The sequence below is a fragment of the Homo sapiens genome, chromosome 5 (assembly GCF_000001405.40).
Source record: "Homo sapiens chromosome 5, GRCh38.p14 Primary Assembly".
Classification (NCBI taxonomy): Eukaryota; Metazoa; Chordata; class Mammalia; order Primates; family Hominidae; genus Homo; species Homo sapiens.
Window position 1 is genome coordinate 150,002,478 of NC_000005.10, and position 15,424 is coordinate 150,017,901.

At 40.9% G+C, this 15,424-nt stretch overlaps 1 protein-coding gene across 3 annotated transcripts in view; it reads left to right on the plus strand.

Annotated features, from left to right (window-relative positions):
* Positions 1 to 15,424, plus strand: part of HMGXB3 (HMG-box containing 3) — a 52,390-nt gene that overhangs the window by 1,739 nt on the left and 35,227 nt on the right. For 2 of the 3 annotated variants that reach the window (NM_014983.3, XM_047416963.1), the window contains exons 2-5: positions 2,374 to 2,512; positions 3,996 to 4,170; positions 7,634 to 8,131; positions 9,778 to 9,876. In NM_014983.3, the coding sequence (NP_055798.3) occupies positions 2,376 to 2,512; positions 3,996 to 4,170; positions 7,634 to 8,131; positions 9,778 to 9,876 (909 nt within the window). In that variant the 5' untranslated portion in view covers positions 2,374 to 2,375. The remainder of the gene's footprint in view (positions 1 to 2,373; positions 2,513 to 3,995; positions 4,171 to 7,633; positions 8,132 to 9,777; positions 9,877 to 15,424) is intronic. The other variant, NM_001366501.2, reaches the window with a different exon arrangement.

Sequence of the window (15,424 nt, forward strand, 5' to 3'; positions counted from 1 at the left end):
TTGTACTGCACGTATCAGTCCCATATTTACCACCACAACTGCCTCTTCCCAGAATTCTAAATTTCCTCCTGACAGATTTTCAGGGGCAACTATGTTATTTCCTCTTGTAAAATTCAAGTGGTTTCTGTGAGCCTTTCTCCCTCCAAGGATTGAGACTTGTGGTAAAAGTCCAATTTAGAACTTGGCTACAAAAAAAACTAACTCTTCTTGAACTGGTTATTAAGTTTTTTATGCCTCTTTTCCTAGACATAAAAGCTGTTAGTAGATTCTCTGTTTTTTAGCCCAGCACCAGAGAGCTGATGTTGGTTGGTCAGATGACTGTTTAGATCTGTGCTGTCTCTAGCTCCTAGCATATGTTGCTATTTCAGTTAATTACAATTGGCCAGGTGTGGTGGTGGCTCATGCCTGTAATCCCAGCACTTTGGGAGGCCAAGGCAGGAGGATTGCTTGAGCCTAGGAGTTTGAGACCAGCTTGGATAATATAATGAGATCTCATCTCTACAAACAATTTAAAAATTTGCCAGACTTGGTGGTGCACATGTGTAGTCCCAGCTACTTGGGAGGCCAAGGTGGGAAGATCACTTGAGCCTGGGAGGTGGAGACTGCAGTGAGACAGGATCTCATCACTGCACTGCAGCCCAGGGGACAGAGTGAGACCTTGTCTTAAAAATAAATAAATTTAAAAATAAAACTAATTCAATTCTTCAGTCACACTAGCCATATTTCAAGTGCTCGATAGCCATATGTGGCTGGTGGCTACTATATTTGACAGCACAGATGTAGAACATTTCCATCATCAGAGTTTATTGAACAGTGCTGGTTTGGAGGGTTGCCAGTAGAGATGGATAGCAGTGTAGCATAATGAAAGAAGGCCCAGGGAGTTGGATTTTTGAGTTAAAAATCTATCTCTCAAGTCCCTGCTTGGGCTTGGTGGCCTTGGGAAGGTTGTTAAGCATCTCAGACACAGATAATAGTCTTTAACAGAGGCTAGATGTGGTGGCTCACGCTTGTAATTACAGCACTTTGGGAGGCTGAGGTAAGAGGATCGCTTGAGCCCAGGAGTTCAAGACCAGCCTGGACAACATAGCGAGATTTCATCTCTATTATTATTTTTTAAATTATATAAAATTAAAAAAAAAACTTAATGAACTCTTCCATTTTTTTTTCTGCCAATTACCTGACTTTAGGAATGAACCCAGCAGGGCACAGTGTAATCCCACTCATGCCTGTAATACCAACAGTTTGAGAGGCCAAGGTGGGCAGATCGCCCGAGTCCAGGATTTTGAGACCAGCCTGGCCAACATGGCAAAACCCTATCTCTCCAAAAAATTAGCCAGGCGTGATGACATCACCTGTAGTCCCAGCTACTCAGGAGGCTGAGGTGGAAGGATTGCTGAGCCCAGGAGGTCAAGACTGTAGTGAGCCCAGAGTGTGCCACTGTTCTCTAGTGACAGAGTGAGACCCTGTCTCAAAAAACAAAAACAAAAAACCCAAAAACAAACCCTTTTCATTTGCATAGCACTTGACTATTTTCTTTTTTTTTTTTTAATTAAAAAAGATTTTTATTTTTTTAATAGAGATGGGGTCTCACTATGTTGACCAAGCTGGCTGGCCTCAAACTCCTGGCCTCAAGCAACCCTCCCATCTCAGCCTCCCAAAGTGCTGAGATTATAGGCGTGAGTCACTGCGCCCATCCAATTATTTTTAAATAGAGTTGTGTCTATTGTATCCTTTGAGTCTTATCACTATAAATCTGTGGGAAGGTAGTTGAGACATGTCTTTTTTTATACATGAGAGAGAAAGCTGAACAAAAAGCAGCTAAAAGACCTGACCAAAATTGCACAAGCTGGCAGAGTATAAAGAAATCTTTTACATACAGGCCCTTACTACATGTTTGAGTGAATCAATGAAGGGATTTGCTTAAGTTGATGAAACATAGGAGGAATGGGCCAGAACTTCTGATTCCTGGCCAAGCATTTTTTTTTAACCTGTTTCCATATAGAATTGTTATAATTTGGGGCTAATAAATCTTTGTGTTAAAGGGGTGGGTGGGTACTGTATCCCATGAATATAAGTGAAAAGTATTTCTAAGGCAGTGGTCACAAACTTGCCCGGTCTGAGGAATCACCTGAGGCATTTGTTAAGCATGTGGATTTCCATACCCTCGGGAGATTCTGCTCCAGGAGGGCTGAAGTGGAGCTCTGGAATCTTGTGTGTTAAACAACCAAGCCAGGTGCTTCTTAGGATATATTGGGTTTGGGAAATGTCTAAGCCTTAAGGCACTGGCAGAGGTAAGGGGTTATTTGATCAGGAAGCTGCTGCCCCTCTTAGGGGAGATTCTGGAAACTTTATTTTGACTTTCCTTTCCTTTAGCCATGGACGCATCATATGATGGTACTGAGGTAACTGTCGTGATGGAGGAAATTGAGGAAGCCTATTGTTACACCTCTCCTGGGCCACCCAAGAAGAAGAAAAAGTATAAAATACATGGAGAAAAGACAAAGAAACCCAGGTTAGCCAACACATTTTGGTTGCTGCTAGCATTTATAAACAGAAGTTGCTTGGAGAGCTGCATTGAGGAAAACTTTTAAGACTCTTTGAAAAAGAGTGTTATGATTGAAGTCCTGTGTCGAGGGATGAGGAGTGGGAAGTGGAGGGATTTCTGCCAGCATTGCCATTACTGGCCAGACTTTGCTTTTGTTTTCAAGTTGTCACAGGAAATTGTACCATACTGATGGTAGAAGCTAGGTACAAAAGAGCTACATTATTTATTATTATGCCATTGTTGTTATTTAAACATTTAAAACAAAGCATTAATAAAATTACAAAATTAGAAATAAGGCTGGGCGTGATGGCTCATGCCTGTAATCCCAGCAGTTTGGAAGGCTGAGACGGGTGGATCACCTGAGGTCAGGAGTTCGAGACCAGCCTGACCAACGTGGAGAAACCCCGTCTCTACTAAAAATACAAAATTAGCCGGGCGTGGTGGCGCACACCTGTAATCCCAGCTGCTTGGGAGGCTGAGGCAAGAGAATCACTTGAATCTGGGAGGCGGAGGTTGCGGTGAGCCAAGATTGTGCCATTGCACTACAGCTTGGCCAACAAGAACGAAACTCCTCTCAAAAAAAAAAAAAAAAGAAAAGAAAAAGAAAAAAAACACACAAAAAGAAATAATACCAATTATATCTGTACAGAATATCCAAATTGTAGCTCTAACTTCACTCTTGACTGTGAATACCTCAAACTTGTGAAACTACCAGCATTGGTCATTTTGATTGGTCTGCTTGCTTCCCTCTCTCATCCTTGGGGAGGTGCCATTGACCAGGTTGGTGACCAAAGGCTGCGTAGAGGAGCACGGAGTGTGAGTGATAACCAGCCCCTTGAGGAAGCTTTCCCTGAGAGTGGAATGACAGGACAGGACACCTGTATCTATCTTTGCTTTAAAATCATTCCTGCACAAAAAGCGATCTTTAGGAAAGCCAGTCAAATGAGCCTTTGCTTCCAGGTTTCTGAAGGGGAAACAGCCACTTGCTATCTTTACCATTCATTTTCCCCTCCTCCCTTGGAGCCCCTTATCTTCCTGGGTAGTTACTCCTGACTGTAATATAGTGGCTCTAATGTAGTAACTTTAATATGGTAGCTTATATAAGCATTTCTCCTATACCATGAGTTTTTATATTACAAATTGAATGTAATATAATTTGTGTTGTACTGACAGCTATCAGTTATAATCAGGAATAAGATTATAACTTATTATAACACCATCTGAGGATGTTATTTAAATGTTTGTTTGCTTGACTTTCAGTCCCTATTTAGATAAATGCTTAGAAATGAGAAGCTAGGTTTTATCAACCTCTTGACTACCCATATCTTAGCATAGTAGTACTTACTGGTTGAATGAAGTCCTGGGTCGAGGGATGGGGAGTGGGAAGTGGAGGGATTTCTGCCAGCATTGCCATTACTGGGAAAGCCTGAAGAAGTCATTGCTTCCTCAGGTCTGCTTACCTTCTGTACTATTACGACATCTACCTGAAAGTGCAGCAGGAGCTCCCCCACCTCCCTCAGTCTGAGATCAATAAGAAGATTAGTGAGAGTTGGAGGCTTCTCAGCGTGGCCGAGAGGAGTTACTACTTGGAGAAAGCCAAACTAGAGAAGGAAGGTTTGGATCCTGTAAGTAATTTTTTTTTCCAGCTATTTTTTCCACTGGTTCAGTGATGAAGGCCTTGGGAAAACCAAGCCCCTTGTTCTGTTTCCTTTTCTTTTTTTGGGAAAAGTTTCATCGTTTTATCCTTCTTGACTCTGGGCTTGCTTGTTTCCATTTTGATAATGCCCTGCACTCTCTTGTCCTCTTCGGTTGCAGCAATACGTGGAGCTGACATTTTTTTGTGTTTTCTGCAGTGAGCCTTAGGTTCCTTTTCTAAATTTTAGTGTAACTTGGAGCCCCTCATAGTTACTATAAATAGTAGCTTTAATGTAGTAAACTTTAATATAGTAGTTTATATAGGCATTTCTCCTACGCCATGAGTTTTCATATTACAGATTGAATGTAGTATATTGTACTAACTGCTATCAGTTATAATCAGGAATAAGGTTTGCATGTTTAGAGGTAGATAGAGCTGCTTGTGTAATACAGTACCACATTATTTTGTTAGCACTGGTGGTTGGAAACTATGCTGAAAGCAAAAATGCAAGTAAAGCCAAAGATGGTGGAGGAGACCAAGGCTTTGGGTGCTTGGGTTAAAGGACTAACAAGGAAGCATTTAGAATTATGTCTGTCAGCATTTTCTTATTTCTAGTTCACAGTAACAAAATACACTGACAGCTATTTAAACTGCTGGGTTTTTGTTTTTTTGAGAGTATCCCTGTCATGGCATAAACTGCTGTTTTTTTAAACTGAAATTCCTGCAGGAAGAATAACCTTGCTGTTGCAGGCTGGAACCTTTTATCCTTAACTCCTTATTTCAATAGAAACAGTTGTCTGTAACTTCTATTTTGGTAATGTAGAGCAACAGCAACAACTACGTTATAGCAGAACAGGTTGTATTTTCCCTTATTGGAGCTCATCAGCTACTGCCATTTAAATTATTTTGTGCTTATTGGCCTGGCATTCTTCTTTCTGGGAGAGCTTTGTCTTACCTACAGGCTTGGAGATGCTACTCTCTGCTCCCTCCTCTAGGTGATTTGTTTATTAACAGTGAATCTGGGAAATAATCCCTATAGTGGAGTGGAGATGGAGTCTAAGAAAAGCTTATCTACTCCCTTTGGTTTCCTTATTATAATAAAATCAGCTGTCTAGGCTGGGTGTGGTAGCTCATGCCCGTAATCCCAGCACTTTAGGAGGCTGAGGTGGGAGGATCACTTGAGCCCAGGAGTTTAAGACTAGCCTGGGCAAGTTGGCGAAACTCTATCTCTACAAAAAATAGGAAAAGATTAGCCAGGCGTGGTGGCATACACCTGTAGTCCCAGCCACTCAGGAAGCTGATGTGGGAGGATCACTTGAGCCGGGGAAGTGGAGGTTGCAGTGAGCCGTGATTGTGCCACTGCACTCTAGCCTGGGCAACAGAGTGAGACTCTGTTTCACACACACACACACACACACACACACACACACACACACACACAAATCAGCAATCTTTTTGTGCATGATAAAATCCTACGTAATCCTGGAGTGATTTGATTTTTAAAACTACACACTAATGTAGATCATTATCAAGACTTTAAAAAAATTTAAATCATCTGCAATGATTCTTCCTTATTTACATGCTTATTTCTATCTACCACTATCTCTACCACTGCCACCAAGAACATGAGTAGGTTAGTTCTGATAATAGCTGAGTGACCATTTTAACTTTTGAGTCTTGGTTTCCTCATCTGTAAAATGGCAGTAGTCTCTTCTCATAATGTTTAAAATAGGTAATGTAAATCACCTAGCTGAATTCTTGATAATACTGACATAATAAATATTACCCTTTAGTAGATTAAACATTCATTGACTATATAATAAGGAAAAGTGGCATTTATTGAGTACCTGGAATGTAGTAAGACTGAGTGAAGCTTTATGTGCTGTGTTTGACCTCTCCCAGACTGCCTGGTGTGATGGGAAGACCCTCAATGCCCACATACCTTGGGAGCCTGTCAGAGCCCTGTGGCAGGCTGTCCTCCTTAGCAGCCCTTCAGGTCTCTTGCCAAGTGCAGGCTCCAGTGATATGCCTTCTAGTCTATAAAATGAGTATCATTCAGGCCTTCCAGGTTTCTTTGTGCTTGGATTTGTTAAGTCCAGGCCATGCTGTGTGTATTTGCCACCATTTAGTCTTGTTCTCCTAACATGGCTGCTTCAAAGGGTGGCTTGAGAATGCCATTTCCCCATTACCTCTCCAATAAAGGCTCCATAAAAGATTCAGTCCATCTGCTTTTATGTTTCATCTGAGTGCTGCTTTTAACTTTTCATTTCTGAGTGCTTCCTTTATGCCTTAAGTAGTCTCATCGACTTCTTGCTTTTGATTTATTGAAGAATCCTTTTGTAGTTGACTTTAGTGTTCATTTTAAAAGATACTTCTGAAATTTTTTTTTGTTCTGTTTAATTTTAGGTCTCATTTAACTGTTCACTTTGAACTTTTCTGTTTTCCTTATTGGGTGCCTTTAAGTTTAAATTGAAAAAATAAAACATAAATGACTTTTTCTTGGTGCCAATTAGCCATTCAGGACTGTGCTTTTTAGTACCTGGCCTTCTTGATACTTAGAAGACCTGGCCTGGAGTCCCAGCTTTACTGTTTACTAATTTTGTGTTTAGGGAAAGTTTACCTCCCTGAGTTTCATCCTAAATTTTCTCATTTGTTAAATGGGAATAATAATCTTATCTAACATAATAGTGTTGTTTTTAAGATAAAATCAGATAATGTGTTTGAAAACATTTTCTAAACCTGAAGGTACTGGGTCATTGTTAATATTCACATTTTTTTCCGTAGTATATTCAGGACCTTGTCACATAACCCCTTCTATATATACTTTCTGTCACGAAGCCTTCTAATGAAGACCCTTAGCTTTGTGATCTGTTCATCCTCTTCTTTGTAAGTCTGGGGAAAACCAGTGAGGTCAGAATGCTTACTTGCTGCCTTGAGTTTCATCTTAGCCTGTTAACTTGTATTTTATGCTTTTTGGGTTTTTATTGAGCGTTATACATTCTAATGTTTGAATCTTATGCTGCTTTGGAATCCTAAAGTATCAGAGCTCAAAAGGAACTCATAAATTGCCAGATTCAGCTCCCTTGTTTTACAGATGGGGCAGCTGAGGCCTCAGGAGGGGAAAGGATTTGCTCAAGGCTATGCCAGACCTCAGGTTCTAGCTCACAGTTTCATATGGCAAGACCAGTGCTCTTTCCAGAGTTCAGTCCATGCTGTTTCCTGTGTGACTGAGTGAATAAGCTACATTGGCTAAAGTGTGATTCAAATGAAGATGACACTGCTGTTGACAGGGGCTGACCTTATCTGAATTAGGTCAAGAGAGTAGAGTTTTTCCAGTCCCTTTTGCAGGAAAAAAAAAGAACTTACACATATATATATATCTTTCTCTCTCCATGTGGTCTTAGTCCATTTATCTCTGCTTGTCTCCCCCTTCCTGGCTTCCTCATCCTCAGAACTCTAAGCTCTCTGCACTGACTGCTGTGGTTCCGGACATCCCAGGTTTCCGCAAGATCCTCCCACGCTCAGATTATATCATCATCCCCAAGAGCAGCCTGCAGGAGGACCGGAGCTGCCCTCAGCTAGAGCTATGTGTGGCTCAGAACCAGATGTCCCCGAAAGGACCTCCTCTTGTGTCCAACACTGCCCCGGAGACAGTGCCCAGCCATGCAGGCATGGCAGAGCAGTGCCTGGCTGTGGAGGCCCTGGCTGAGGAGGTGGGAGCCCTTACCCAGTCAGGTGCTGTACAGGAGATTGCCACCTCAGAGATCCTCAGCCAGGATGTGCTCCTAGAGGACGCTTCCCTAGAAGTAGGGGAGAGCCACCAACCTTACCAGACAAGCCTGGTAATTGAAGAGACCTTGGTGAATGGCTCACCAGACCTCCCCACTGGAAGCCTGGCTGTGCCCCACCCCCAGGTTGGGGAGAGTGTATCAGTGGTAACAGTCATGAGGGTAAGTGGCTTTGGTACTGAAGTCTTTGGCTTTGTCTGGAGTTACTTAAAGGGCAGCTAGCACCATACAGTGTGATTCCAGAGCAGTGGTAATCAAGAGTACTGGTGTGGCACTTACTGATACTGCAGTTCTCTTGAATGTGTCTTGCCCCTGGGCTCACTCCAGAGTTCCTTGAAATTTCTCAGGCACTCTTACCAACTCTTTGCCCAGCTTAGCCAGAATTTTCTTCACATGAGATGGTTCATAAGCTACATTAGCAAGAAAGCTGCAAATTGTATTTGAATTATCCACGAGTCAAAGCTAGGATCTGTCAGGCAATTTAGTATCAGTCAGGATTTTATGTTTTCTGAAGACTGCTTCCTTTTCTTGAAATGGGATTTCACTCTGTTGCCCAAGCTGGTCTTGCATTCCTGGGCTTAAGCAGTCCTCCTGCCTCAGCCTCCCAAGTAGCCAGGATTATAGGCTTGTCCATCACACTGGCTCCCTGAAGACTATTTCAGCAAACAATGGCACCTTGAGCTGTGTACAAGAATTTTCACACAAGACCTGTACCCAGGTCTTCCTGGATTCAGATGGGGTAGGAAGAAAAAAGTTATCTTCAAGGCCAGGTTGATGGGACTTACCTCTGAGAAAGAGGAAGCAAGTTTCTACAGTGGCCTAAGTGTCATTCTCAGTTGAGGGGAAAACAGCACTTTTAGTGATCCCAACAACCTCATCCCCTAGAAGTGGAAGTGGAGAGAAACTGCTACCATGCCATAGTATAATATATAACCTGTCCTCTATAACCTTGGAGAGGATAGCATTCTCAGAGATGGGAGTCTTTCTGTGCAGGCTAAGAGGACCAGCTTGCTGTAGCCCTTATGGCCTGGGCAGAAGAGAACAAGTACCCCTGCAATCTGTCCCAGGGCTAAATCCTTATTTGTTGCCTCAGTGCTGTTTATGATAATGAAGCGTGCAACTAGCCGGTTGTTGTTGTTGTTGGTTGTTTTTTTTTGGTTTTTTTTTTTTTTTTTGAGACGGAGTTTTGCTCTTGTCACCCAGGCTGGAGTGCAGTGGCACAATCTCGGCTCACTGCAACCTCCACCTCCCGGGTTCAAGAGATTCTCCTGCCTCAGCCTCCAAGTAGCTGGGATTACAAGCATGCGCCACCACGCCTGGCTAATTTTTGTATTTTTTTTTTTTTAGTAGACATAGGGTTTCACCACGTTGGCCAGGCTGGTCTTGAACTCCTGACCTCAGGTGATCCGCCCGCCTCGGCCTCCCAAAGTGCTGGGATTACAGGCGTGAGCCGCCGTGCCCGGCCGCCACTAGCCTGTTTAAAGCAGGTAAATAGGGTGCTGAGAACACTTGAAAGGGTTAGAATTGGATTCTCTCACTAACTGCTTATGTGATCTTAGAAGTCCTAAATGTCTTAGAACCTCAGTTTTCTCATCTATAAAATAAACATAGCACACTTCCTGTGGAAATAGTTTTCTCTTTGTTCTTAAACTTTTTGAGATAATCATAAATTCATTCCTTTTGATAAGCACATTGGGATGAGTACACTGTCTGTTATTAAACTTAATCCAGGCTTCCAGTGTTGAGTGGCCTGGGTGTTCTTTATTACTCTGTTTCAGTGAAACTGTCCTTCTCTTCATTGCCCATAGGATTCCAGTGAGAGTAGCTCCTCTGCACCAGCCACACAGTTCATCATGTTGCCTCTGCCTGCCTACTCGGTTGTGGAGAACCCCACCTCCATCAAACTGGTCAGTACTGTATGTGGGGGATTGATGGCAATTAGGGTGTCATAAGCATTTTTTTTCTAAGTAGATTTGTCTTTTTTTCTTTCTGAGCTACCAGTTGTAGGACCAAGAAGATTTCTAAAAGTCTTAGAACCTCAGGATGCGAGGACTGGCAAAGATTTCAGGGATTATGTGGTCCATATGTTCTTAATGGGGGTGAGGGGGTTGTAGATAGATCTCCATGGGATCCATGAACTCACCTCAAGTTTTATACAAACTTTTTTCCTGGAATGGATTCCATGACTTTTATAAAATTTTCGTAAGCATACATGATTTAGGAAAATGAGCAGCCACTGATCTAATTCAATACTGTGATCGTACAGATTAGGAAAAGGGCCATAGGAGAGAAAGGACTTGTTCAAGGTTACAAGACAAGTCAGACTGGATTCGTTTCTTGATTCCCAGTTGATATTTTTTTCAGCATCGGGGCTGAGATTTATCCCTGTTTATCTTTTTCTCACACTATTATAAATGGCATTTTTAGAAAATTTTCAATATCTGATTGCCTACAACTAGTATATCGTAATACAATTGATTGCTTTGTATATTGGGCTTGTATTCTACAACTTTGCTTAACTCACTTATTAGTTCTGGTAACTTTTGTAGATGCTGTTGGGTTTCCTACAAAGTTAATCATGCTGTCTACAAGTAATGACAGTTTTATATGTCCTTTCTGATTTGAATTCCTTCTTTTTCTTGCCTTATGATATTGTCTAGGACTTCTGGTACAATGCTGAATAGAAGTGGTAAGAGCAGACATCTTTGTCTTGTCCTCATGTAAGGAGGAAAGGATTCAGTCCTTCTTCATTAAGTATATTAACTATAGGTTTTTCCTACATGCCCTTTATCATGTTTAGGTAGTTCCCTCTATTCCTAATTTTCTGAAAGCTTTTATCAGGAATGCATGTTGGATTTTTTCAAATGCTTTTTCTGTGTCTATTGAGAGTATTATAAGAATTTTCCGGAAGTTGGTTAAGGTGGTGAATTTCACTATTACTCAAATTTTAAACCACCCTTGTATTCCTGGGACAAACCCCATTTGACAGTGATGTAGTATCCCTCTCATAGATTGTTGGATTTCATTTGCTAAAAAGTTTGCTCAGAATTTGGCTCAGAATTTCCTTATACAGTCTCTGTCCACTTTTCATATCAGGGTAATGCTTGCCTCTTAAAATGACTTGGGAAGTATTTTCTCCACCTCAGTTCTTTTCCTTAAATGGTAGTATTACCAGTGAAGTCATCTGGGCCTGGAGTTTTCTTTGTGAGAAGGTTTTTAACTGCAAGCCCAATTTTAAAAATATGTATAGGACTATTCAGACTGTCTCTTTGAGTGAGCATTTGGTATTTTGGCTTTCAAGGAATTTGTCCATTTCATTTAGGCTGTTAAATTTATTGACATAAAGTTGTTCATAACATTCCCTTATTACCCTGTAATAAACAATGTACTTATCTACAAAGATAATTTGAACTGTTGTTTCCCTATTGCTGACAGATGAAAAAGTTTAGACCTTAAAATAATACCTGATTGTTGGCCACTTCTGGTTAAGGCCACTCTCTCCAGCTTTCCAGTGACAGGTAATGCTTTACATTACAACCAACTAATATTCTAAGATTCTTAGAAATGGACAAACCACTTGTTGCTTATTTTGATTGTTTCTGGACAGTTACTACCTGTGTGGAAAAATTCAGGGTGCTAAACAACAGTGTCACTTTATGGCCTGGTACTACACTAGAGCATGTCACAAGTTCGCAAGGGCGGTGGCTGCTCCCTCTACTAACGGATACTACCAGAGACCTTCACACAGTGCAGACCTCGGTTACTAACACCTAAATATTAACACCCATGGGATTTGCAGTCCCTATGTTCATGTCTAGTACTTGGGTAAGCTCCACACCAGGCACATATTGTTTTATGCAATCTTTAAAGACATCTGCAATAGACAATATGCAGTTTAAACAAACTGTGAGGTTTATAAACAGAGAATTCTTTACGTTTGCTATTATGTCATAACAGGCACAATCTGAAATACAATTTTGTACTAGCAGTGTATAAAAATACTTTTAAACGATACTTTCGATAGGTACAGTAGCACTTTAAAGAAAACCACTGTGTAGTTATTCCTTTTGAGGACCTACTAAAACAGTTCAACTTACTGCCCCCAGCTACATCTAAAGCACGAATGTGGAAAGCAAGTTCTCTTACCCAGGTACACACCACACACACCCACATGCTGAAACAGTCTCCATTTATGATGCATGCTGATGAGGCATCAATCTCAAACAGGGTATGAGATGACAGTGTTTGGTGCCTGTTTCCATTTCCAGGTTTGGTATGAATGAACAAGAGGCAAAGGCAAGGTGGAGTCTGTGTATGGGCCCTCTCTAGGAGTTTAATCTGGCATATCAATATTTAACTTGGGAGGTGGGGGAACATATTTCCCAGGGATTAAAACTACCTGGTCTTCCCAAACACTGGAGCAATTTTCGGAGCTTCTGGAACCAATGTTTCTTCAGCACCTTCGCTATCTTCCTGATGGAGATCATATGAAATGTTCCCATATTCTCTTAAAAATGGGAAAATTTCAAGCAGAAACTGGCAGAAGTCTCTGCGAATACCAAACCACCAATGATTGCCCCTTTTTGGCCTAAATGTTGTGGTCATTAAAGTTAGTAACAAAAGCCAAAGGGGGACAGATATGGAGATACAGGAGAATGTATTGCGGCCATCCAGTCTGTGAACCAGCAGGACTTCAAAGGTGAGCAGGGCACGATGACAGTCGTTATCCAGCTGATGGCCATGGTCACGTGTGTTCTTCACTGCCCTGGTAGTTCTCATTTGTTCTTTTTCTAGTTTCTTAAGGTAGAAGCTGATGTCATTGATTCAAAACCTTTCTTTTCTTTTCTTTTCTTTTTTTGGTAAATAAGGTTTCACTCTGTTGCCCATGTTAGAGTGCAGTGGCACAATCATGGCTCACTGCATCCTTGACTTCCTGGGATCCACCTACCTGCCCCAGTCTCTCAGGTAGCTGGGACCACAGGTGCATACCACCACACCCAGCTAATTGTTTCAAATTATTTGCAGAGATGGGGGTCTCTCTGTGTTGCCCAGGCTGGTCTTAGAACTCCTGGGCTCAAGCAATCCTCCTGCCTTGGCCTCCAAAAGTATTGGAATTACAGGCGTGAGCCACCGTGCCCAGCTCTTTCTTTCTTTTCTAATGTAGGTGCTTACTGCTATGAATTTCCCTCTAAGCACTGCTTTAGTGGCATTCCACAAATTCTGATATGGTGTGTTTTCATTTTCATTCAATTCAAATACTTTCTAATTTACTTCTTTGACCTATGAGATACTTAGAAGCGTATTATTTACTCTGCAAATATTTGGGGATTTTCCAGATATCTTTCTGTTATTGATTAATAATTTAATTCCACTGTGGCCTGACCTTTTTGATTTATTTAAACTGAATCCCTTTAAATTTATTGAGACTTGTCTTACGGCCCAGAATGTGGTCTGTCTTGATAAATGTTATGTACACTTGAAGAGAATGCATAGTCTGCTATTGGGTGGAATGTTCTATACATATCTAATTAGGTCAAGTTGATTGATAACGTTCAACCCTTTTATATCCTTACTGATTTTGTCTACTTGTTCTATCAATTATAAGAGAAGGCATCTGGCCGGGCACGGTGATATGTGCCTGTAACCCTAGCACTTTGAGAGACTGAGGCAGAAGGATTGCTTGAGCCCAGGAGTTCAAGACCAGCCTGGACAAGGCAGGGAGACCCCGTCTCTACAAAAAGCAAAAAATAGTTGGGTGTGGTGGTACACACCTATAGTCCCAGCTACTCAGGGCTGAGGTGGGAGGATTGCTTGGGCCCAGTAGTTGGAGGATACAGTGAGCTGTGATCGTGCCACTGCACTGTAGCCTGAGCAACAGAGTGAGACTCTGTCTCAAAAAAAAAAAAAAAAAAAAAGGAGGTGACATTTAACTATCCTTGTAGATTTGTCTGTTTCTTACAGTTCTCTTAATTTTTGTGTCGCAAATTTTGACTCTCTTGCGAAGTATGTAAACATGTAGGATTGTTGTGCCCTCTTGATAAATTGGCCCCTTTGTTATTACAAAATGACCTTTATCTCTAGTAATCTTTGCTCTGAAATCTACTTTGTCTAATATCTAGCTTTTAAAAATTATTGTTACATCAAGAAATCTATTTTTCCATCCTTTTAACTAATTTATATCTACATAAAGTGTTTTTGTTTTGTTCTGCTTTGTGTAGATAGCATATAGTTTCAATATAAAAGCAAGACCCTCTGACAGTCTCTGTCTTTAAAAGAGGTGGTTTAAGCCATTTATATTTAATGTGATTATTGATATGGTTACATTTAGATCTATTATTATTTGTCTCATCAATTTTGTTCTGCCTTCTTCTGATATAAGTATTTTTTATGGATCTGCTTTCTTTTATTGGCTTATTAGCTATTGACTTTGTTTTGGTTATTTTAGTAGTTTCTTTAGGGCTAAAGTACATATTTTTAACTTATAAGTTTATCTTCAGAGATCTCTACTGAGATAAACAATATGTTGTAGATAATAAAGCTGCAATATTTTAAAATAGGAACAGCCTGCAGCTTTGACTCATGGAGAAACTGGTTATTTCTCCTGAGTCTTTATTCTCCTGGAAATTACTGTTCTTTCATGCTCTAATAAATGTCAGCCAAGCACTTCTAGAAAAGTGTTTTATGATTAATACTTAGGACTGAAACGTCATCCTTGAACATTAGCACTTTTTTTCCTAAAGTCATTTCTCTAGCCTACTTAACAATGTTAAGAATTTCCAAGTCCATGGTAATTTACTTATGAAACTAACCTATCTTAAATTTTTACTCTGCTTTCTTGAGGTGTTCAGAATGAGAATTATACATTGGCCATAACCTGAGAAAGGATCAGAGATGTTTTATATTCCACTATTAATAGTCTCTCACAAGCATGTAGAATCTAAGTGAATGTTTTCTCATTTCTTATCTCACTTTCTCAGCAAGACACGCCTATAAAATAGGAAGAACAGGCGATTTTACAGAGGAAGAAACTCAGGGCCCAAGAGTTAAGGTTCCTTACCACCAGGTCACTCAGTGTATTAGTGGCAAAATTGGAACCCAAAGCCTGGTCTTCCTCTTTTTGGTGCCATACCACTTCACGCTCATCCTTGACTTAATACCACTGTCATAATTGGAAGCCATAATTGAAGCCTTTTCCTTAGGCTTCCTTGCAGAGGTAGCTAATGGTAGTTTGGTGTTTCCCCAAGGAAGCTTTTTGCGTTTTGGCTGGGCTAGGGAAGCTGGGATTAATAGCTGAGTAAACATTCATATGTGACAGAACAAATATGACAGAGAAATGGGTTTTTTTCCAGCCTTAATCTAGAAGCGGAGCATGACTAATGAATGAGTCGTTTTTATTTGTAGCTGAAATATTATAACCCATAGTAATACATTTTGCTCAAAGGGAGATCAGTGGAG